Here is a 26,075-nt window from a genome sequence, read left to right as displayed (position 1 = left end):
CCACATCTATCGATCAGGTTTCAAATTTTCCTTCAAGAGTGAGAACATCTTTATGTATTTCATGGGAATAAATATTAATTCAGCACTTCTCCAGCTCTTCTCGTGTGGCTATTGAGTGTTGATTTGATTGGTTATTGAAATTAGGGCATTAATGCTCCCGCTGAACTTTAATTGGCTTCCTCTTGGAATTCTGCCAAGTAAGATCTTCTCCCAAAGGCCCCCAACTAAACAGGGAGGCCATGGAAGGTCTGGGTCTGCCTTTGGCAACTAGAGTAATGCAATTGCTTGGGATGTCTACATCATCAGGAGATTTATTCCCTGCCTTCTTTGAAATAGCACTTTCTCACTAACTAGGAATTCTCCCAAAGCTCCAAGATAAATATTTTTGGAAATCTAATGATATTTGATTTCCTCAAAATTGAGACAAAGATAAGGTACATATTCAGGAAGGAAAAAGGCAGGAATCTCACCCTCCACTCCTAGCTAAGGCATATTTGGTTTCCAAACTGCCTACAAATGGAACAGCTGCAAGAAATTGAAAGTGAGCTGAAGCTGGAGTGAAAGGATTGCATTGCTCGTTCATTTTCAGGATTCAGGGAGAGCTGTAGCATGGAATTTGGACCTCCCACACATGGACTTGATTTTATAGCAAAGCTGGTATAAGAGCCAAGGGACACCTTCACCAGAAGGAGCAGGGATTTTATAAAATTGAAGATCTGTGATAGCCATGTTAAGGAGGATAAAGGAATAGGTGTGTAAGCCAAATTTTGAGGTTTTTTTTAATCACTCCCACCCTAAACAACAACAAAAAATTGTATTTAGCATTTCAATTACTGTATTATGCTTTAGGTAAAATGATACCTTATTATTGAGATTAAATTTGAATCCTTTACAGGAATCCTGTAAAGATTGATATTGTTAAACCTTGGGCTCTCTATATCTTTAGCTATTAGAAAAGAATACATAAGGACTTTCTAAATTGTGATTTCAATTTTTTATTTTTCTGGAAAGATGTGTTTCTAACCTTATAACTCACTCATAGCTCTTCATGTTAAGCATGGCCACGACGTTCATGTTAAGAATGGGTTTCAGTATCTCTCAAGGTGAAACTCTACGTTGAACATGCAAATCACTGACATCAAATTCATCAGCCAATACTGTTAGCTCAACCTTCAGAATAAACCCAGAATTAGACTGCTTCTCACTACCCTCACTGATGCCATTTTTGTCTGAGCCGCCATTACCTCCTACCAACAGTTCCCAGTTGGTCTCCCTGAATATAATTCTGATTCCCTTCAGTCTTTTTGTCAAACCATATCTCAAGGCAGATGAAGTTACTCTTCTCAATACTTGCTAAGAGCTTTTTATACCACTCAATGTTAAAATCTTATAATGGCTTCCAATGTCCTACATGGTCTTCTCCCTATCCCTTCCTTATTCTTTCTCTTCCATCTCCAGTCAGTTTTTATCCAGATACTCTGGCCTCCTTGCTGAAATGGAGCTGAGAGTCTAGGAAGACTAAGGTGGGTAGTTTGCAGGAGAAAGTAATTCAGACAAGAGAGCTGTGCAAAGAAAAGTGCTGTAAAGAGAGAGGCAGAGCCGGGGATAATTACAGAGGATTCCCCTTGATTACCCACCACAGTACTAATTAGCATATGCATGTGAGGAAACTATCTGAGGCCAGGGAAAGGACTTTTCAAAGAGAATAGAAGGAATAGTACCCAGTGCTCAGAAAAAGCTAGAAATAGCCAGACTGGAAAACTTTGCATTTCATGGAACATTGGTTAGAGCCTTTAGAGGGGTCTTAGTAGTAGAAAATAATTAGCTCTCAACAAAATGCCACTCTTCTCCCACCTAACAGATCTTAAAAGAAAGATCTGAAAAAATTAAATTATTTCAACTAAATTAACTGCATTGCAGAACCAAGTATGAGAATATTTATAGGAATATAAAAATGTCTAGCACTGAAAAAGGTAAAATCACAATATCTAGCATTGCTGAAAGATGAGCAGACATAAAAGAGGCAGAAAAATATGACTTTGAATAAGAAAACTCAATCAATCAAAACTCATTTGGAACTGACACTGGTATTAGAATTGCAGACAAGGACATTTAAACATCTATTATAATTGCATTTCTATTATTCAAAGAGCAAAATAGCACATAAAAGTCATGAGATGGACTCAAATCTAAGTTCAAGAGAAAAAAATATATCTGATGTAGCGATGGAACGTATTTGGGACCGGAGGAAGCAGAGCTAAATGGCTGAATAGAAGCCTCCAGTGATTATAACTTCAAAAAGAATAGCAAATTGAACAACTATCCACACAAAAAAGTACCTTCATAAGAATCAAAAGTAAGGTGGGCAGTCACAGTACCTGGTTGTAACATCATATTAAGGAAAGAGGTACTAACGAAGATAGAAAAGAAAATCTTGAATTGCCTATGCTGCCCCTCCCCACCCCCTGACAGCAGCTGCATGGCATAGAGAGAAAATTTATGAGTTTTGGGGTGGGAAAATTCAGTAATTGTAGGACTTTGTATTGGAACTCAGTGCTGCCTTGTCACAATGGAAAGCAACATGGAGCAGAACTCAGCAGGGCCTATGAAGGAAGCATTTAGACCAGCCTCAATGAGAGGTGAATTGCCCATCCTAGAGGTTGGAACCTGAGTTCTGGCAAGCCCCACCACTGTGGGCTAAAGAACCCTGGGGTCCTAAATTAACTTGAAAGGCAGTCTAAAGCAAAAGGACTGCAATTTCTGGGCAAGTCTTGTTTCCATGCTGGGTTTGGAGCCAGTGGACTTAGAGTACATGTGACTTAGTGACACACCGGCATGGGTGGCCAAGGGAGTGCTTTCCTCACCCCTCCCCTGACCCCAGGTGGTGCAGCTCACAGCTCTGGGAGAGACTCCTTCATTCCGCTTGAGAAGAGGAGAGAGGAAAGAGGATTTTTGTCTTGCAACTTGTATACCAGCTAAACCACAGTAGAACAGGGCACCTGTGAGAGTCCTGAGGCCCCCATTCTAGGACCTTGCTCCTGGATGTCATTTTTAGACACATCCTGAGCCAGAAGGGAACCTGCTGCTTTGAAATGAAGGGTCCAGTCCCAGCAGAACTTGTCACTTGCTGACTGATAAGCCCTTAGGTCCTCAATAATCAGCAGTGGTAGCCAGGTTATACTCATTGTGGACCTTGGTTGAGACTCAGAGCTGGGCTGGCTTCAGATGTGACCTAGCACATTCCCAGATGTGGTGGCTATGGGGAAGGACTCCTTTTTCTTGAGGAAAGGAGAGGGAAGAGTAAAGGGGACTTTGTCTTATAGCTTGGGTGCCAGCATTGTCACAGTGGGATAGAGTACTAAGCTCTTGGGGGTCCCTAATTCCAGGCGTTGGCTCCTGGACAGCATTTCTGGACCTGCCCTGGGGAGTGGGGCGCCCACTGCTCTGAAAGGAGAGACCCAGGCCTGGCAACGTTTACCACAAGCGAACAGAAGAGCCCTTGGGCCTTGAGTGAACATTGATGATAGATAGGCAGTGGTCACTGTGGGCCTTAGGTGAGACTTAGTGCTCTCTTGGCTTTGGGTCTGATTCAGTGCACTTCCAGTGTTGGTGGCCACAGCAGTGCTTGTATTACCCCTACCCCAGCTCCAGGCAGCTCAGCACAGAGAGAGAGACTACATTTGTTTGAGAGAAAGTAAAGGATGAGAACCAACATTTCTGCATCGTATTCCCAAGGAATTCTGGATCTCACCCAAGACCACCAAGGCAGTACCTCTATGAGTCTGCAAGAGCCACAGCATTACTAGGCTTGTGGTGCCCCCTAATGCAGATATGGCTGCAGTCACCAAAGATTTATATCACAACACCTGAGTGAGACCCTTTGAAAACCTGAAAATCTCCCAAGAAGGATGGGTACAAATAAGCTCAGATTTGCAAACACTACAATAAATTCCTAACTCTTCAATGTGCAGACACAGATGAACATTTACAAGCATCAGGACCATCCAGGAAAATGTGACCTCACCAAACAAACTAAATAAGGCACCAGTGGCCAATCCCAGAGAGACAGAGATATGTGACTTTTCAGACAGAAAATTCAAAATAGCTGTTTTGAGGAAGCCCAGCAAAAGGAATTCAGAATCCCATCAGAAAAATTTAACAAGGAGATTAAAATAATTAAAAAGTATGAAGTAGAAATTCTGGAGTTGAAAAATGCAATTGACATACTGAAGTCCCTTAACAGCAGAATTGATCAAGCGGAATAAAGAATTAGTGCACTTGAAGACAGGCTATTTGAAAATACCCAGTTAGAGGAGGCAAAATGAAAAATAATAAAAAAGAATGAAGCATGCCTATAAGATCTAGAAAATGCCTCAGAAGGGCAAATCTAAGAATTATTGGCCTTAAAGAGGAAGTAGAGAGAGAGAGAGAGAGAGATAAGGATACAAAGTTTATTTAAGGGGATAGAGCAGAGAACTTCCTAAGCCTAGAGAAAGATATCAATATTCAAGTACAAGAAGAGTATAGAACACCAAGCAGATTTAACCCAAATAAGACTATCTCAAGACATTTAATAATCAAACTCCCAAAGGTCAAGGAAAAAGAAATGATCCTAAAAGCCACAAGAGAAAAGTAACAAATAATATACAAAAGAGCTCCAATACATCTGACTGTAAACTTCTCAGCAGAAACTGTACAGGCCAGGAGAGAGAGGCATAACATATTTACAGTGCTAAAGGAAAAAACTTCTATCCTAGAATCTATCCAGTGAAAATATCCTTTAAACATGAAGGAGAAACAAAACAAAGACTTTCCCAGACAAACAAAAGCTGAAGGATTTTGTCAATACCAGAGCAGTTCTACAAGAAATGCTAAAGGAAGTTCTTCAATCTGAAACAAAAGAGAACATTAATGAACAACAGGAAATCATCTGAAGGTGAAAAACTCACTGGTAATAGTAATGACACAGAAAAACAAAGAATATTATAATATTGTTATTGTGGTGTGTAAACTCCTCATATCTTGAGTAGAAAGACTAAATGATTAACCTATCAAAAATAATAACTACAACAACTTTTCAAGGTAAAGACAGTATAATAAAATGTAAATAGAAGCAATAGAAAGTTAAAAAGCAGGGGGATGAAGTTAATGTATAGAGTTTTTATTAGTTTTCTCTTTGCTGGTTTGTTCGTTGTTTATACAATCAAGGTTAAGATGCCATCAGCTTAAAGCAATAGGTTATAAAATCTTATTTGCAAGCCTCATGGTAATCTTGAATCAAAAAATATACAACAGATACACATAAAATAAAAAGCAAAACATTAAAACATAGAGAAAATCACCTTCACTAAAAGGAAGACAGGAAGGAACGAAAAAAGGAAGAGGTGACCACAAAACAACCAGGAAACAAATAACAAAAATGGCAGTAGTGAGTCCTTACTTATCAATAATACGTTGAATGTAAATGGAAGAAACCATCTAGTCAAAAAACATAGAGTGTCTGAATGGAATTTAAAAAAAAGAAAAAAACAAGACACAATGATCTTTCACCTGCAGGAAGCACACTTCACCTATAAAGACGGGCGTAGATTGAAAATAAAAAGATGGAAAAATATATTTTATGCAAATGAAAGACAAAAATGTACAGGAGTAGCTCAACTTATATCACACAAAACAGATTTCAAGACAAAAACTGAAAAAAGACAAAGAAGTTTATTATATAATGATAAAGTGATCAATTCAATAAGAGGATATAACAATTATAAATATATATGCATCCAACAATGAAGTACCAGGTATATAAAGCAAATATTATTAGAGCTAAAGAGAGAGATATATTCCAACACAATTAATAGCTGGAGAATCCAATACCCCACTTTCAGCATTGGACCGATCATCCAGACAGAAAATCAACAAAGAAATATCAGACTTACTCTGCACTGTAGACCAAATGGACCTAATAGATATTTACAAAACATTGTATCCAATGGTTGCAGAACACACATTCTTCTCCTCAGTACATGGATCATTCTGAAGGATAGATCATGTGTTAGGCCACAAAACAAGTCTTAACAAATTTAAGAAAATTAAAATTATATTAAGTAACTTATCTGGCCACAATGGAATAAAGCTAGAAATCAATAGCAAGAGGAATTCTGGAAACTATACAAACACATGGAAATTAAACAATATGCTCCTGAATGACCAGTGGGTCAAAAAAGAAATTAAGAAGGAAATTTAAAAATTCCCTGAAAGAAATGAACATAGAAATAAAATATACTAAAACCTATGGGATATAGCAAAAGCAGTATTAACAGGAAAGTTTATATAAATAAGTGCCTACATCACAAAAGAAAAAAAACTTCAAATAAACAACCTAAAGGTACATCTTAAAGAACTAAAAAAATCAAGAGCAAATCAAATCCAAAATTAGTAGAAGAAAAGAAATAATAAAAATCGGAGCAGAAATTAATGAAATAGAAACAAAAAAATACAAAATATGAATGAAATGAAAAGTTGTTTTTTGAAAAGATAAAATGATAAACCGTAAACCAGACTGAGAACAAAAGAGAGAAAACCTAAATAAATAAAAACACAAAAAAGGGGAGATTACAACTGATACCACAGAAATTCTAAGAATCATTAGAGACTACTATGAGCAGCTATATGCCAATAAATTGGAAAACCTAGAAGAGATGGACAAATTCCTAGACACATCCAACCTATGAAGAATGAACCATGAAAAATCCAAAACCTGAACAGGTCAATAACAAGTAATGAGATTGAAGCCATAATAAAAAGTCTCCCAGAAAAGAAAATCCCAGGACCTGATGGCTTCACTGCTGAATTTTACCAAACATTTAAAGAGGAACTAATACCAATCCTATTGAAACCATTCTGAAAAAATAGAGGCATCCAAATTCATTCCATGAGGCCAGTATTGCCCTGATACCAAAAGCAGACAAAGACACATCAAAAAAAGAAAACTACAGGCCAATATCCCTGGTGGACCTTAATGTACAAATCCTCAACAAAATACTAGGAAATGGAATGTATCAATGCACTAAAACGATTATTCATCATGATCAAGTGGGATTTATCCCAGGGGTGCCATGGTGATTCAACATATGCACGTCAATCAGTATGATACATCATATCAATAGAACGAAGGAAAGAAACCATATGATCATTTTAGTTGATGTTGAAAAGACATTTGATAAAATTCTACATCCCTTCATGATAAAAACCCTCAAAAAACTGGGCATAAAAGAAACATACCTCAACCCAATAAGAGCCATAAATGATAGACCCACAGCTAGTATTGTACTGAAGAATGGAAAACTTAAAGAGTTTCCTCTAAGATGTGGAACAAGATAAGGATGCCCACTTTCACTAATGTAATTTAACATGGTACTGGAAGTCCTAGCTAGAGCAATCAGACAAGAGAAAGAAAGGGCATCCAAATTGGAAAGGAAGAAGCCAAATTAGCCGTGTTTGCAGATGATATAATCTTACATTTGTAAAAACTTAAAGACTCCACCAAAAAATATTCTAACTGATGATCAAATTCAGTAAAGTTGCAGGATACAAAAGCAACATACACATATCAGTAGCATCAGTAGTTTCTGCATGCCAACAGTAAACAATCTGAAAAAGAAATCAAGAAAGTAATCCCATTTAGAATGGTTACATGTAAAATAAAATACGTAGGAATTAGCCAAAGAAGTGAAAATCTCTACAATAAAAACTATAAAACATTGATGCAAGAAATAAAAGAAGACACAAAAAATTAAAAGACATTCCACGTTTGAGGGTTTGAAAAATCAGTATTGTTGAAATGTCCATACTATGCAAAGCAATCTATAGATTCAATGCAATCCCTATCAAAATATCAATGACATTCTTCATAGAAATAGAAAAATTAATCCTAAAATTTATATGGAACCACAAAAGAACATAAGTAGTCAAAACCATCCTTAACAAAAAAGAACAAAATTGGAGGAATCACATTGCCTGACTTTAAATTATACTACAGAGCTATAATCAAAACAGCATGACACTGGCATAAAAACGGACATATAGACCAATGGAACAGACTAGAGAACCAAGAAATATATCCATACACCTACAATTAACTCATTTTTGGCAAAAGTGCCAAGAACATACTTAAAGGACAGTATCTTCAATAAAGGGTTCGGGAAAACTGGATATTCACATACAGAAGAATGAAACTAGACTCCTATCTCTCACTATGTACAAAAATCAAATCAAAGTGGGTTAAAGAGTTAAATCTAAGATTTCAAACTATGAAACTATTGGAATAAAACATTAGGGAAACTTCAGGATATTGGTCTGGGTGAAGATTTCTTGAGTAATACCATAAAAGCTCCGTCAACCAAAGCAAAAATAGACAAATGGGATCACATCAAGTTAAAGCATGTCTGTACAGCAAAGAAAACAATAAAAAAAATGAAGAGACAACCCACAGAATGGGGGAAATATTTGCAAACTATCTATTTGTCAAGGGATTAAAAACCAGAATATATAAAGAGCTCAAACAACTCAATAGGAAAAAGTCAAATAATCCAATTTAAAAATGGGCAAAAGATCTGAATAGACATTTTTCAAAAGAAGACAAACACATGGCAAACAGGTATGTGAAAAGGAGCTCAACATCATTGGTCATCAGAGAAATGCAAATAAAAACTATCATTGCATCATCAACTGGGATATAATCTCCTAGTTAAAATGGCTTTTATCCAAAAGGCAGACAATAACAAACACTGGCAAGGATGTTTGGGAAAGGGAACCCTCATACACTGTTGGTGGAAATGTAAATTAGTACAGCCACTATGGAGAGTAGTCTGGAGGTTCCTTAAAAAATGAAAAATAGAACAGTAATATGACTATTACTGAAAATATGACCCAGTAATTCCACTGCTAGGTATATCAAAAGCAAATAAACCAGTATTTTGAAGAGATATCTGCACTCCCATATTTATTGCAGCATTATTCACAATAGCCAAGATTTGGAAGCCATCTAAGTTATCCATCAACAGAGGAATGGATAAAGAAAATGTGGTGTATATATACACAGAGGAGTAGTATTCAGCCATAAAAAAGAGTAAGAGCCTGTCATTTGTAACAGCATGGGTGAAACTGGAGTGTATTATGTTAAACGAAATAAGCCAGGCACAGAAAGACAAACTTCGCATATTCTCACTTATTTGTGGGAGCTAAGAATTAAAACAATTGAACTCCTGGAGAGAGAGAGAGAGTAGAATGATGGTTACCAGAGGCTGGGAAGGGTAGTGGCAGTGGGGGTGTGGGGGATGTGGGGATGGTTAGTGGATACAAAAATACAATTAGAATGAATAAGATCTAGTATTTGATAGCACAACAGGGTGACTATCATCAACAATAATTTATTGTCCATTTAAAAATAACTAAAAGAGTAAAATTAGATTGTTTTAACACAAAGAAAGGATAAATACTTGAAGTGATAGATACTCCATTTATCCTGATGTGATTATTACGCATTGTTCACCTGTATCAAAATGTCTCATGTAGCCCATAAATATATGCACCTACTGTGTATCCACAAAAATAAAAAATAAAATAAAAATAAAACAGTAGTATAAAAAATATACTATATGATATTAACAGCAGATTATACCAGGCTTTCAACCTTTTTTATTATTACCTCCAAGCAGCCTTTTTGGACGTTTATTTTCTAATCTCCTCCATTCCCCATGAAACTTATAACCACACATGTACCATATAATATTTTGTTTTTGTATCTCAAGAGCCAATTTTTGCCTTCTTAGGAGAGAATTTTCTCTGCTGAAAATGTATGAATTATATATTATAGATGGAAAGATGACTGAAGTTGAAGCTATAGCAAAGGAACTGTTCAAAATTAAATACTCAGAAAAAAAAGAACTGTAAAAACTGCAAAGAACATCAGTAAATGATATGGTTTGGCTCTGTGTCCCCACCCAAATTTCATGTTGAATTGTAATCCTCACATGTCGAGGGAGTGGCCTGGTGGGAGGTGATTAAATCATGAAGCAGACTTGTGCCTTGCTATTCTCGTGATAGTGAATGAGTTCTCACAAAATCTGATTAATTAAAAGTGTCTGGCACTTCTCCTTTTTCTCTCTCTCCTGCTGCCTTCCACCATAATTGTAAGTTCTTTGAGGCCTCCCGGGCCATGCGGAACTGTGAGTCAAGTAAATCTCTTTTGTTTATAAATTACCAAGTCTCAGGTGGTATTCTTTAAAGCAGTGTGAAAATGGACTAATACAGTGAACTACGGGACAACTTTAAGTGGCATATTTCAAATGTAATTAGAGTTTTCAAAGTACATAAGAGAAAGGGAAAGAAAAAAGATTGGAAGAAAATGGTTAAAAAGTTTCCATATATAATAAAAACTATAAACCCGAAGATAAGCTTATTAAATTTCAAGTACAAGAAACATGAGGTAAACTTCAGCAAGAGACATCATAATCAAATTGCTCAAAATAATAGATAAGATAATGCATGCAAAGGAGAAAAAAAACCTGGTAAGAACAGAGGAACAAAGATAGGAATGATAGTGAATTGCTCATTGAAACAATACAAGGACTGGGCACAGTGGTGCATGCCTGTATTCCCTGCACTTTGGGAGGCCAAGGCAGGCAGATCATGTTAGGCCAGGAGTTTGAGACAAGCCTGGGCAACATGGTGAAACCCATCTCTTCAAAAAATAAAAAATTAGCTGGGTGTGGTGGCATGCACCTGTAGTCCCAGCTACCAGGGAGGCTGAGGTGGGAGTATCACTTGAGCCGAGGAAGTCAAGGCTGCAGTGAGCTGAGATCATGCCACTGCACTCCAGCCTGAGTGACAGAGAGGCCCCGTCTCAGAAAAATAAAGGAACAATACAAATAAGAAAGCAGTGGGACAACATTTTAAAATTACTGAAAGAAAATTTAGGCATTTAAGTTAAAGTATCCAATGAAAATATTGTTTAAAAAAGAAAGTGAAATAAAGATTTTATTTTTTTGTTTTATATATACAGAAACTGAAGAGCCTTTTCAACAAATGGTGCTGGGAAAACTGGATATTCACATGCAAAGAATGTAGTTTCACCCTTACTGTATTAGCTTGCTGTGGCTGCCAAAACAAAATACCAGAGACTAGGTGGCTTGAACAGTAGAAATTAATTTTCTCACAGTTCTGGAGGTGGAAGTCCAAAATCAAGGGGTTGTGAGGTTTGGTTTCTCCTCAGGCCTCTCTTTGGCTTGCAGATAGCCACTTTTTCACCATGTCCTCATATGGCCTTTTCTCTGTGCATTCACATCCCTGGTGTCTCTCTCTTTATTAATTAATTTTTTTATTTATTTATTATAAGGGCACCAGTCCTACTGGGTTAAGGCCCCACTCCTATCATCTATCATCTCATTTAACCTTAATTACCTTCCTGAAAGTGATACACTTAAATGCAGTCACACTGGGGTTAGGGCTTACAATATGAATTTTGGGGGGACATAATTTAGGCCGTAACACATACCTGAAATCATACATAAAAATTAACCCCAAATGGATTAACCATCTCAATGTAAGAGACTAAAACTATAAAACACAGGGAACAAACTTGATGACATTGAATTGGGCAATGATTTTTTGGATATGACATTAAAAATATAGTCAAAAGAAGCAAAAATAGACAAATGAGACCACTTAAAAACCTCTGTACATCAAAGGAAACAATCAACGGAGTGAAAAGGCAGCCTACAGAATTGAAGAAAATATTTACAAATAATCTATCTGAAAAGAGGTGAATATTCAGAATATAGAAACAACTTCTACAACAACAAAACTCCAAATAATCTGATTAAAAATTGGGCAAAAACCTGGTTGTCAATTGCCTGCTCTCCCACCTGCACTCAGGTGGCGGCCAGAATCCCTTCTTTTGCAAGCTTCTGCAAAGCCTGTGCAACTGCTCTTGGCATGGAAAGTCACACACTAAGTTGCTACTTATTCTGTAGCCTTCTGCAACCCACAGGTTCCCAAGGGTTGCAGCTCCTGCCTGGTCCCAGGTCCCCAAACCTCCCAACATCGGTTGCTGATTGCTCTATCTATATGCACACTAGAGGCTGGGCTCTATTCTTGCAGTTGAAGAAATTTCAGGTGGGCTCTAGGATGGCCAAAGTATCCGAGTTCTTTGCTATTCAGTGGGTGAACCGCATGTTTTCCCAAGAGGTATGAATTCCTCTCAGGTTTGTCTTTTTCTAGGTTCTCAGCTCTAGGGTGCTTTGCAGAGGTTCCTTATATGTTACAGTTACTTTTTATCATAGTTAATGATTCTTTGTATTAAACATCTCCTGTTGAACTTATAAAAAATTAGCCAGAAGACTTGAATAGATATTCCTCCAGAAAAGATATGTACATGCCCCACAAGCAAATAAAAAGATGCTTCATATTGTTAATCATCAGAGGAATGCAAATTAAAACCACAATAAGATATCACCTCATATCCATTAGGATGACCACTATAAAAAATTGGAAAATAGCAAGTATTGGCCAGAATGTGAAGAAATTGATACACTTGTGCACTCTTCGTTGGAATGTAAAATAGTGCAGCTACTGTGAAAAATAGTATGAAAGTTTCTCAAAAAGTTAAAAATAGAATTATGATATGAAGATTAGAATTAGATTAAAAAATTAGAATTATGATATATAGCAATCCCACTGGTATGGACTGAATGTGTTCCTCCAAAATTTATATACTGAATTCCTAATTCCTAATATGATAGTATTTGGAGGTGGAACCTTGGGGAAATAATTAGGTTTAGAGGAGGTCATGAGCATGGAGCCTCTGTGCTGGGATTGTTGGTCTTATTAGAGGAAGAAACAAGAACCCTCTGTCTCTACCATGTGAGAATACGCAAGAAGGTGGCCATCTGCAAATCAGAAAAAGGGCCTTCACCAGACACCAAATCAACTGACACCTTGATCTTGGACCTCTCAGTCTACAGAACCGTGGGAAATAGATGTTTGTTGTTTAAGCCACCAGTATATGGTATTTTGTTATAGCAGCCTGGACTAAGACACCCACTTTTTGGAATATATCCAAAAGAATTGAAAGCAGGATCTCAGAGAGATATTTACATACCCATGTTTATTGCAGCATTATTCACAATAGCCAAGAGGCAGAAGCAACCCAAATGTCTACCCACATGATGGCAGTGGTGGTGCATCTGTAGCAGCCACTGTGAAGATGCCAGCTGCAGCAGGGGAGGTGTGGCCCAGGTTGCGCACTCCATGGAGCCAGCAGGAGCCAGGAACAGGTGGGAGCCCCACCCGCTTCTGAGTTGGCAGGGTGGGAGCTCTGTGCTCCCCAGGCTCAGCTGCAGCTACCCAGCTGCAGCTCCAGATCCCAGCATCTCTCCACTCTTAGGGGCCAGGATCAGTTGGGAACCCCACCTCCTGCTGAGTTGGCAGGGTGGGAGCCCTGCCCTCCCAGGTGCAGCTGCAGCTGTGGACCCAGGCATTCCTGTGCTCTCAGGGCGGGGAACCTGCCCCACCCCTGCAGGCTGGAAAGTGCCTGCTCCTGCTGCCAGGCCTCTTTCCACTCCTCATGTGATCTGACTTTGAAGCAAAGTTGAGGCTGAGCCTGGGTCCTGTCACGACCCAGCTGAGTGTGTGTGCACTCAGGGGTGTGCTGACACACCAGCCTCCTGCTGCCCCAGCCCCCTCCAGACTTTCGGTGCTGACAAGCATGGAAGAGAGGCCCATCAGCTAGAGGCAGACAGGCTTCTGGGTGGAAAGGGGTGGGTCCCCACTGAAGCCTCATGTATTAGTTTGTTTTCATGCTGCTGTTAAAGACATACCCAAAACTGGGAAGAAAAAGAGGTTTAGTTGAACTTATATTTCCATATGGCTGGGGCAGCTTCAGAATCATGGTGGGAGGAAAAAGGCACTTCTTACATGGCAGTGGCAAAAGGAAAAAGAGGAAGAAGCAAAAGAAGAAACCCCTGATAAACCCATCAGATCTCATGAGACTTATTCACTATCACTCGAATAGCATGGGTATTTCCCGGCACCCATGATTCAATTACCTCCCCTGGGTCCCTCCCACAACATGGGAATTCTGGGTGATACAATTTAAGTTAATTTAAGTTGAGATTTGGGTAGGACACAGCCAAACCATATCACCCTGCCTTCAAGCCAGGGCAGCCTGAAGCATGGGGGTGGGGATGTCAGTTCGGAGAGGAGTCCCCTGCTGGGAGTGAGAACTTATAGTGCTTTTTCCAGCCCACCCATGGCCACCCATGGACCAATCAGCAGGCTCTTCCTCCCTTGTTAAGCCCATAAAAATGCTGGACTCATCCAGACTCACAGAAAGATGTCAGGACAACCTGCCTATGGACATAAGTTACCCATGCCAGGTCTCCTTTCTCCTGAGGGCTTCGCAGATGTTGGGATGACCTGCCTGCAGATAGGAGCTACCCACTCTGGATTTTTCTCTCCACTGAGCACTGCATTCATTGGGATGACCTGCCTGTGGAAAGGAGCTACCCACTTTGGGTCTCCTGAGGCTGTATTGTTGCTCAGTAAAGCACCTCTTTGCCTTGCTTGCCCTCCAGTTGTTGACCTACCTCATTCTTCCTGGATGTGGGACAAGAACTTGGGACAAACCAAATGGTAGGATTGAAAGAGCTACAACACAAACAGGGCTGAACATGCCTCCCCTCCCCCTACCACTCGCCACATTGTGGGCAACAAGAACAAGAGAAGAGCTGCGGCCTTTTGGGAGGCCAGACCTAGGGGCTCCCCAAGCCAGGGTAGTGACACCCCCTTTAGGGCTCTGCGGTTTCTGGTGTCTCCAAGCTTCTGGGCATCACCACATTCCTCTCGTCCAGACACAGGTGCCTATAGTGGAAGCTGCTTATGGTGCATCTGATCCAGCTGCAGGATTGCATGGAGCCAGTCAGTGCCTATGCTGGCACTTGGAGCTGGCTGCTCCACCACAGCAGCCAGCATGCCTGGCTTTGTGTAGTGGCTGGACTCCATGCTCGCCTGCTCATGCACTCCTCACTGCTCTGCACCTGGCTCACCCTTGGCAGGCATGGGATCCAGGCCAGTGGCATGAGCTGAGCACAGCCTGCCACGCTGAGCGGGTGGAACGAGCCCAGCAGGCCCGAGCAAAACTCAGGCAAAGGTACCACGGGCCACAGAGGTTTCTGGTTGGCAAAACGACATCCTAAGGATCCTATAACACATGGATGAGTAAATAAAATATGTTATACACGTATAATAGAATATTATTTAGCCATTTTAATCATTTTAAGCGTACAGTTCAGTAGTGTTGATTATATTCATATTGTTGTGCAACATATCTCTAGAAATTTTTCATCTTACGAAACTAAAACTCTATACCAGTTGAAAAACAATTCCCCATTTCCTCCTTTTCTTAGCCTCTAAAAACACCATTTTACTTTCTAAGACTTTGACTACTTTAGATACCTCATAAGTTAAGTCTTATAACATTTGTCTTTTCAAATTACTTTATTTAGCATAATGTCCTCAAGTTTCATTCATATAGTAGCATGTGACAGGATTCTGAATGACTTCTTTGCCAGCAGACCTGCACTATAGCACTATAAGAAATGTTAAAGAATTTCTTGAAGCAGAAGGAATGTTACATCAGATGGAAACATGGATTGACATGAAGAAATAAAGAGAACCAAAGATGGCAACTATATGATGAACTATATGACATTTTCTCATTAGTTAAATTTCTTTAAAAGATAATGAGTTATCTAAACAACAATCATAACAATGTATTGTGGAGTTTATAACATATGAGTAAACAAAATATATGACAATAGCACAAATACCAAGAGGATAGACATGTAATGTGCTACTCTAAGTTTTATTTATTTATTTTTATTTATTTATATTTTTGTTTTCACTAAAAGTTTTATACAATATGTACAGTTGTATAACATCACTTGAAGGTAGACAGTGATGAGTTAATATATGTACTAAAAATGCTGAACAAACCACTAAAGTTGACAAACAATTATAGTTAATCAAAAACAAGAAGATAAAATCATAAAAAGTAATTAAGACAGATGAAGGCAAATCAAGCAGACAAAGGGGACAAAAGAATTTCAAGATGATAAATGTAAATCTAGTCATATCAATAATTATATTAAATGTAAATGGTCTACGACCCCCCATTAAAAGAAGAGAATTTCAGATTGCATAAAAATGTGAGACACAATGTTTTGCTTACAAGAAATGAACTTTAAGGATAAAGACGTAAGTAAATTGAAAGTAAAATAATGGAAAAAAGGTATACCTTAATAACACTAATCAAAAGAAAGTTGGAGGAGCTATAGTAGTTTCAGAAAATGTAGATTTCAGTGCTTGAAATATTACTTCATAATATCATTACGAAATTCATTTCATAATGATAAAGGTGTCAGTCTATCAAGAAAATATAATCATCCTAAATATTTATGCCCCTAATAACAATGATTCAAAATACATGAAGCAGCAGCTGATAGAACTTCAAGGAGAAATAGATAAATTCTCAATTATTTCAACATTGTTCTCTTAAGAAATCATAAAAAGTTAGACAGAAAATCAGTAAGAATGTGGAAGGTTTGAACAACACTATCAACCAACTTGACCTAGTTGACATTGACAGATCACTCTCTCCAACAAGAGCAGATCATACATCCTTTTTAACTGCACACAGAATTTTTACCAAGATAGATAATATGTAATGCTATAAAACAATGTTCCATAAATTTAAAATGAGTCAGGTCACAGAAAGTACTTCTTTCTGACAAAAATTGAGTTAAATTAGAAATTAACAACAAAAATATCTGCAAAAATCCACAGATATTTGGAAACTAATAACATACTTCTAAATAACCAATGACCAGAGAAGAAATCAAAAGAGAAATTAAAAAATGTTTGAACTAAATGAAATGAAAGCACAGCATATCAGAATTTCTGGGGTACCACTAAATGGTACTTTGATAGAAATTATAGCACTAAATCCCCATATTAGACAGTAAGAATGGTATCAAATCAATGATCTCAGCTCCCACTTTAAGGATTAGAAAAGAAAAAAATAAACTCAAAATAAGCAGATGAAAGAAAAGAATTATCAAAGCAGAAACCAAAGAAATAGAAAACAGAAACATTCACTGAAACTAAAAGTGGTTACTCAGAGAAAATCAATAAAATTAATAAACCTCTGCCTAGCTGGGTGCAGTGGCTCACACCTATAATCCCAGCACTTTGAGAGGTGGAGGGGGGTGGATCACCTCAGGTCAGGAGTTTCGAACCAGCCTGGCCAACATGGTAAAACCCTGTCTTTCCTAAAAATACAAAAAAATTAGTTAGACATGGTGGTGCACCCCTATAGTCCCAGCTACTCAGGAGGGTGAGGCAGGAGAATCGCTTGAACCCACGAGTGGGAGTGGGAGGTTGCAGTGAGCCAAGATTGCACTACTGCACTCCAGCCTGGGTGACAGAGTGAGACTCCATCTCAAGAAAAAAAAAAAAAAAAAAAAATTAATAAACCTCTACCCAAATTTATAAGAGAGAAAAGAGAAGTCTCAAATTACAATGTACAAATTACAGAAGTAATCGCTACAGATTACACAGATATTAAAAATATAATAAAGAAATATTATGACCAGTTATATGATAATAAACACCACAATTGAGATGAAAGTGACAAAATTCCTGAAGAACACAAAGCTTGCTCAGAAAAAAGAGATGATCTGAATATTCCTATATTAATTTAAAAATAGATTTCATAGTTTAAAATTTTTCCACAAAGACAAGTCCAAGGAGATATAGCCTCACTAGTGAATACTACAAACCATTTTAATAAAGAAATAATATCAATTCTACTCAAACTCTTTCAGAAAATTGAAAAGGAGTCTCTCCTTTTCAATTTATGAGGCCAGCATTATCTTGATACCAAAACCAGAAAAAGACATTTCAGAAAGAAAAACTGCAAACCAATATTCTTGATGAATATAAGTGCAAAAATTCTGAACAGATTTTTATCAAATTGAGTCCAACAGTATATATAGGCTAACAAACACATCATTACTAAGTGGAGTTTACTTTGAGGCATGCAGCATTGATTTAACATTAGAAAATGAATCAATGCAATTTCCTATATTAACAAACGAAAAAGGAAAACATAATCATCTCAGTAGATGTAGAAAAAGCATTGACAAGTTCCAATATCAATTCCTGATTTTTAAAAACTCTCAGCAAACTAGGAATAGGAGGGAATTTCCGCAACCCGGTTAAAGGACATTTACCAAAAACTTACAGTTGCATCATACATAACTGAGAGACTGAATGTTTTCCCTTAAAATCAGGAAGAAGACAAAGATGACTGCAATTACTGCTTCCATTCCACATTGTACTAGAAGTCTGGCCAGCGATTTAAGGTAAGAAAGAGAAACAAAAGGCAGCTATATTGAAAGAGAAGAAGTAACACTGACTTACTTCAAAGGCAACATAATTATTTATCTAGAAAATCAGATGAAATTTGATCTAGTAAAAACACTACTATAACTAAGAACCTGTTGGCCAGTATACAAGATACTATCTCAGTATACAAAATTAATTTTGCTTCTGTGTAGTAGAAACAATCAGAGACTAAAATAAAAGGTATAGTTTATAATAGGATAAAAATATGAAACCTTTAGGAATAAATTTGACAAAATTATGCAAAACCTGTACATTGAAAACTACTAATGGCGTCCAGGAAATGCTACCCCCAAATATGGCATCTTGTCACTTCAGAAAGTAATAAAACCTAGGAGGATCACTCTCTGACCTTCTCCAGCTCTTCTCCCCTGAAGCAAGTCATAAGGTCTTCATTCAAGAGGAAAGAAAAATCCTTACTCTGAAGACACGGAAACACAGAGAAGACTGAACAAACTGGCCTTTCTAAGTTCCCCCAAGTTTATTACTATTAGATCACACCCTCATTGTCCAATAATATTTCTCCTCTGCTATCCACTTCTTCATCAAACTTAGCATAAAATCCTCTTTCTTTGATTCTTCATTTCTGAAAGCTCCTATGTTATATAAAACTTATATTAAGTAAATTTGTATGCTTTTACCTTCTTAATGTGTCTTTTGTTTTAAGGGCCTTAGCCATGAACCTAGTGATGGGTGAGGAAAAGCTGTTTCTTTTTGCCCATCCTACAAACTATTCCTGAGAGAAATTTAAAAGGACTTAACTAAGTAGAGATACATGCCTTATTCATGTGTTGGAAGACTCAATATTTCTAACATGTCAGTTGTCCAAATAATGGAATTCAAATAAAAATTTCAGTAGGTTATTTTGTAAAAATTGGCAACCAGACTTTAAAATTCATATGGAAATGTAAGGGACCTAGATTAGCCAAAACAAAACCAAAGTTGAAAACAAGAATGAAGATGGTGAACTAACACTACTTGATTTCAAATTATTATAAAGCTATAGTAATCACGGCAGTATTATATTGCATAAATATAGAGAAACAGATCAGAATAGGGAGCTCAGAAATAGACTCACAAATATATGAACAAGTGATTTTTGATGAAGGCACAAGAGCAATTCAGTGGAGAAAAGTCTTTTCAAGAAATAATGTGTAGAAAAATTGGCTAGCCATATGCCAACAAAAAAGAAGAATGAAAAAGAAAAAAAAATGACTTTGATTCATACCTTGCATACTTTGCACCATATACAGATATTAACTCAAAATAGATTCTGGACCTAAATGTAAAACTTCAAACTTAGGAGAAAATCTCTGAAGTCTCTGTGACCTTGGGTTAGGTAGAGTTCTTAGATATAGCACCAAAAGCTTGATTTATGAAACAACAAATTGATAAGTTGAACTTCATTAACATTAAAAAGTTCTGCTCTTAAAAAACAATATAAAGAAAAGAAGAAAGCAAGCCACGTACTGGAAGAAAGTATTTCTAACTCACATATCTGATGAAAGACTTGTATCCCTAATATATATAAACAGTCTCAAAACTCAATAATAAAAAACTCAAACAACAAAATTAAAATATGGGCCGGGCGCAGTGGCTTACACCTGTAATCCCAGCACTTTTGGAGGCTGAGGCAGGCAGATCACTTGAGGTCAGGAGTTCGAGACCAGCCTGGCCAACAAGGTGAAACCCTGTGTCTACCAAAACTACAAAAATTAGCCAGGCGTGGTGGCGGGCACCTGTAATCCCAGCTACTCAGGAGGCTGCGGCAGGAGAATTGCTTGAACCCGGGAGGCAGAGGTGCAGATCACACCACTGCACTCCAGCCTGGGCAACAAGAGCGAGACTGTCTCAAAAAAAAAAAAAAAGTGCACAAAAGATTTGAACAAACATCCCACAAAGGATATAAAAATGACAAATAAGCATAGGAAAAGATGCTCAACACCATTGTTAATTAGGGAAATGCAAATTAAATCCACAATGAATACTTAGAACCAGTTCCTGAGATGGAGATTTGCATACAAGAACTTTATTGGGGAGCACTCTCAGGAACTGCACCAGTAGGGAAGTGAGGAAGCAGAAATGGGTGGAGAGAGTAGTTGAACTCTGGTACGGTTGCAACACACTTATTAGAATAGCCAAAATTTTTAAAAAATTGACAACACCAAGTGTTTGGGAGGATGTGGAGAAACTGGAGCTCTCAGATACTCTTAGTGGTATTATCAAAAGGCACAATCCATTTGCTAAGCAGTTTGGCAGTCTCTTGGAAATTTAAACATACTCCTGTCTACTAGCCTCTTAGAAACTTATAGAAGCTATTTTATGGCGAAAACGAGGAAACAAATGTCCATTAATAGTGAAGGATAGGCAAATTTGTGCATATCCATACAATGGAATATTACCCAGCTGTGAAAAATTATGAACTAGTGATAAATGCAAATACATGAACAAATCTCAAATTAATACTGATTGAAAGAAGCCAGAGACGAAAAAGTACATACTGTATGATTGTATTTATATAAAACTCAAGAAAATGCAAACTAATCTATAGTGAGAAAAAGCAGATCAGTGGTTGCCTCGTAAGAGAAATGGGAGAAAGTGTTGAGGGAGAGGAAGGAGAGATTACAACGGGACTCAAGGACAAGTTTCATGTTTGCAGATGATGGATATGTTTACTGTCTTGACATGTATACATATATCAAAACTTCTCAAATTGCATACTTTAGATTTGTGCAGTTTATCATCTGTCTTTTATACTTCAGTAAAGACGAAAAGAAAAAAAAAACACTGATTTCAGCTATTGGAAGAATGGAATTGCCAGTACCTGAGGTGGAGAGCAGGTTTCGGTAAAGATCAAGAGTTCAGTTTTGAGCATATTGTGTTTGAGAGGTTTAGTAGACATCCAGATGAGATGCCAAGTGAATAGTAGAAAATGCTAGTTTGGTGTTCAAGGAAGAGATCTGGGCTAGAGATACAAATGAGGGTGGTTGGCACAAAAGCAGTAAAGCCTTGGTAGTCACTCAGTAGTTGTTTGTGATTGTCTAGGGAAACATATTCCTGAATCAACCAACATTTACGGATTATCTACTTTACTTATCCAGATACAATTGAGAGACAGTAATACATATGACAGTATTATGTAACATATACTGTTATATAATTGATTCATTAAATGATTCATGCATGATGCTTTGTTTTATTTTTCAGTGAGTACACTTTTTTTTTTTTTTTTAATGTTTGTCTGTTTTGGTTATCTGTTAAAGCTCCTTAGGACTACACTTGCAAAGGCAGCTGAAGGTCTAGCAAAGAGCTTTCTTTAGTAAGGGAGTTTGAAAGCTAGTACTTCAAAGTCTGTGCTAATGACCTGGTAATTGTTTAATGGATTTTCAATGAAGTGTGAAGTTCTCTGCTGACTTCCCAACAAAGTGTAAAGTATGGTAAAGTTTGTGAGAGAGTTATTCTCACTCCTGTGAATTTGTCTCTCTGTTTGTGAAATCATTGCCAAGTACAGCTTTGGCTACTTTATAAATACAAATCCGCTTTAGGGGTGTAAGCATTCAAGCAGTCTTTCTTGGTTTCATTCAGCTAGTGGGATGGGGCAAAGGTCAAGCTGCCTTTAGAAGTGCAATCAGCTCTTTCTACCAAAGGAAAGACCCTAGCAAATCTGAGAACGAGAGTTCTGAAGAGAACAGCCTGGATTTCTAGCAGCTATCTTACACAAGACTTTCTCTTGCCTCTCACCTGGAAAGGAACAAATGCTTCTCTTTGCTTTCTCAGTTTCCATTTCAAATACATTTTGTCTAGAGGACTGAATGTCCCAAGTGTGGCTTCTCAATCTTGGTGAAAGAACATTTCCATGTAATTGACATGAATGCTTTCATCTAGGCTTACCGCTGTGTTAAGCTGCTTTGGGGTGTGCATTATACTGAGAAATGATTCCAGACCAGACACCTTCCCTCACAATGCTGAAAGATAGAGAATATATTGTTTTTCGTGTTATGAAATCTGCTTTTTTTTTTGCCTTTGTTTGGTGGCATCCAATAGATTTGGAGGGCATGGAATGGTCAAATGTTGTTTCTTGTTTGAGTCTCTAAGGCTTGGAGTCTATGCCCTCTATGTTGGCTTTTTAGTAGAAATACTACTAAGAGTACACCGAGGCCACCGAAAACTCTGCCCTAGGGTAGAATTCAGCCCAGGGCAAGGCAGTTGTGCCTTAGGCCCTAGTCAATAAATTTTAAGGTGATAGATGTTATGAATGAATCATTCTCATAGACCTGAACTCCATTGAGGTTCTTAGTGTTATAGTGAATTAACAGAGTATGACTGTCTTGAGACAGGTTCCTTGTAACAAAAGACCATGAGATCTGTGGAAGGAAAAGAGAAAGCTTCATTTTCCATAAGAAACAATTTGCAGATTGGGGAGATGCAGCCCCTGGTGTAAAAAGAAATCATGCTCTCAGGCAGGGTCAGTGAATAGGAGATTATAAAGGCAAAAAAACCTCAGGGCAGAGGAGGGTAGTCAGGGGAGTGAGAAACAGTGTGGATTAGATGACTTTTAAGCCCAAAGTCAATAGTCGCTCTTCCTGGTGGTCAGTCAGTTGGCACCAGGTGATCTGTTGGTCATTTGGGGAATTTCCAGCTGTAGTCTATCTTGGCACCAACAACAGGAACTGGTTTGGCTTGATTGTAGAAAAGGAGGTCCGGTGGTCTCTGGGTGCCAGAAAGGTTGGATATCACTGCTCTACATGATTAATAATGTAGGACAAGATTAGAATATAACTTATAGTGACAACTGTAAAGTTTTGTTTTGTTTTGAAATTCATCAACTATTTATACCAATAATAACAAAAATAAATTTATCAAGACTTATTAACTTAATTTATAAACTATTCTACACTGTCCACTATCGTACACTATAGGTTTTTAAAAAAAATCCTCACAGTGGGGCTTGACTGGCTGTCAAATGAGCTTTCAAACTTTCAAAATGTTAAATGGAACTAGATATCTAACTATGTTTGATAGAATTGGTCTAGGCTTGTTACAACAAAATTAATTTGTATCTTAGTTATTAAACAGCATCTGGGACTGGTTTGGGCAGAACATTAAACTTATTTTGTTGCTAGTTATTGTTTACCAAGTATAATGTTGCTATTTAGCAATGTGCTTGGTTTTAAAGAAATTCTCCTTGGGAAAAAAGTGTCCTCTTTTATGCTTTCTTCCTATAAGCCCAAATGCCTGGACATAGCTATTGTGAAAACTTTAAATGAATCCATTCTGAATATCTTTTGAACCCACAACAAATAATGTTTTAAAGTTATTCCCTTGTTACTTTACTGATACCGTTATCCTTTTTGAGACAGTCTGCTAACTTAAAAGGGTTACATTTCATTTGTATTTATTTCTCTCCCTTGCCAAAAAGGTTTTCTAATACTGCTTGTGCCAGCCAGGGAAATGCTCCAAAACACTGTTCAGCTCTCTTGCACTCAGGAACTTATTTTTTCCTCCATATTGACTTCTGGCCTACATCAGCCAAACTTACCTTGGGGTGGTTTGGATTTGACAGTTGTGTGCTGATTGCACAGAGTTCATATTCAGATGGTCTTTAATAGTCAGCAGATTGTCTTCCTTTATATTGTGTCTTTCTAATGTTGCATGTTGCTTTTCGCATCAGCCTGATTTTTTGCTCAGTATATGATAGTTCTGCTGATGTTTTATTGTTTATTGGGTGAACATAACTTCATTTAGAGTTTTTAGAAATCTCATCAAATTCAATGAATACATTTTCTTCATATCCCATTTGGAATTATTTTTATTACTAATAAAATGATAAAATATTTAAAAAATAAAAAATCCTCACAACAGTCTTGTAAAATAGATATCACATTATATTTTTTTCTTGAAACATATTTTTCAGAGAGAAGAAATGAATTGCCCAAGGTCACACAGCTATATTCGATTCACATTACATGTTCTTTTCTCCAAGTTATACTGTTGTCTCTGTCTAGTCATAGCTATGTTTCCCAAACACATCTTGTGTTTCCTTACTTCTTTGCATTAGTTTGATGTTGTTCACTCTACTTGGGATGTCTTGCCTTGCTTGTCTGACCATCAAACATTCATCCATCCTTAAAGCCTCATTTTGAAGATCATTTTTCACTGTGAAGCTTTCCTAGACTTCCTCACAAATAATAATTTGTTCTTTGTCTATGATCTCAGAACACCTTATATATAGCACCAAATAGGTGATTGATATGTGCTCATTAAATGAATATATGAGTTTATATTTTCAGTCATGTTGCTTTGGCTTTGGAGTTTGCCTGATGCATTTTTTTCCAAGAAGGTGTTCAGTCTCTAAAACCTTTCTATTTTCTGGTAGTTCCCAGTGAAGACTAGGATGTGTACCCAAAGCATTTCTCTTGATTGACTAAGTTGAGCATCACCATAGCAAGTACTGAATACTGTTACCAGATTTTCCACTTTAGGGATTTTTTTTTTGTTGAATTTGTCTTGCATTTATTGTTGAGCCCAAAATGTCACCTCTCTCTCGCTCTTTTTTTTTTTTTTTTTTTTTTGCCTCTGGTGGGATTGATCAAGCAGATATGTGTGATATCTGCAGTCAGTGTAGGTCCCAGACCCTTGAAGCATTTTAGATGCTACTGTTCTATAATATTGGCGTAAATTTGTGAAGAGAGACATGATGTTAGAAGGGACTTTAGGAATTATCTGCTACAGAGCTTGTCACATACCAGAGTTTTGCAAGAGGATTCGGATTCCAGATGTATTTGGTTTTGCAGAGTCAGTATTTTTCTTTAAAATAAAAGTTGAAAATTAATATTAGATTAGTCATTTGTTCTCCAGTCCTGCAAAGCTCCTGTTTTCCCATATTGTCTGGTATCTATGCTTCATTCATTTAAGCTACATGCTTGTCTGCTGAGGACATTCGAGTTTGGGACTCCTGGTTCTGATATAACTTCCAGAATTTGCAAACTGATAAAAAGTGGCCCAGTGAGAGATCACAGAGGGCCCAGTGTGAAACCCATATAACAATACCCAGATTTTATTTACTGCTTACTATTTGATTCCACACTGATGGTATGCTCGGTCTGTTAGTATCTTAAAGTTTATGAATGCTTCTGAGCTGGCAAAGTGGCCAATATCTAGGAGATTTCTTCTATCAGACCAAGTATGAATTTGAAGTAAAAATGGATACTGGCAGGTGACTTTTTACTCAAAATGGTTTCCACTGTTGCCTGTGCTTTGCTGGGACTATCAGGAGTTGTGCAGTGTAGAAAAAGAGTGAGTGCCACCAGCTTGGCTTCTTTATGCTCTGCCTTACACAGTCCTGAATGTTCCTGGAATATTATATCTGTTTCACTAAATGGGCTTCTTCTGGTGACAAAGCATCTTCCAATCTGTAAATTACATATTTATTCACATCCCCTTCAGTGCCTGGTGGTACAATTCATCCTAGTAAAGGGTGATTCTAAGGAAGTGGTTGTTACAGTTTGAATGTTTTTGTCCTTACCAAAATTCATGTTGAAACTTAATCCTCAATG

General features: G+C 37.5%; 1 protein-coding gene, 1 long non-coding RNA gene and 1 pseudogene across 3 annotated transcripts in view; 1 reads left to right on the top strand and 2 right to left on the bottom strand.

Moving 5' to 3' along the window:
• LINC01725 (long intergenic non-protein coding RNA 1725) overlaps window positions 1-21,293 on the top strand; it is a 285,210-nt gene extending 263,917 nt beyond the window's left edge. Inside the window, exon 3 of the long non-coding RNA NR_119375.1 lies at window positions 18,408-21,293. This is a non-coding gene — a long non-coding RNA (long intergenic non-protein coding RNA 1725). The remainder of the gene's footprint in view (window positions 1-18,407) is intronic.
• Window positions 21,294-22,986: 1,693 nt separating this feature from the next.
• Window positions 22,987-26,075, bottom strand: part of LOC107985043 (uncharacterized) — a 57,359-nt gene continuing 54,270 nt past the window's right edge. For both annotated transcript variants that reach the window (XM_047437626.1, XM_047437627.1), the window contains exons 3-4: window positions 25,266-25,326; window positions 22,987-23,260 (exon numbers count right to left, since the gene is read on the bottom strand). In XM_047437626.1, coding sequence (XP_047293582.1) covers window positions 23,114-23,260; window positions 25,266-25,326 — 208 coding nt within the window. In that variant the 3' untranslated portion in view covers window positions 22,987-23,113. The remainder of the gene's footprint in view (window positions 23,261-25,265; window positions 25,327-26,075) is intronic.
• Window positions 23,464-24,358, bottom strand: ARF4P5 (ARF GTPase 4 pseudogene 5; annotated as a pseudogene).

Source organism: Homo sapiens, chromosome 1 (assembly GCF_000001405.40).
Source record: "Homo sapiens chromosome 1, GRCh38.p14 Primary Assembly".
Taxonomy (NCBI): Eukaryota; Metazoa; Chordata; class Mammalia; order Primates; family Hominidae; genus Homo; species Homo sapiens.
This window is presented reverse-complemented; position numbering and strand designations above follow the sequence as displayed.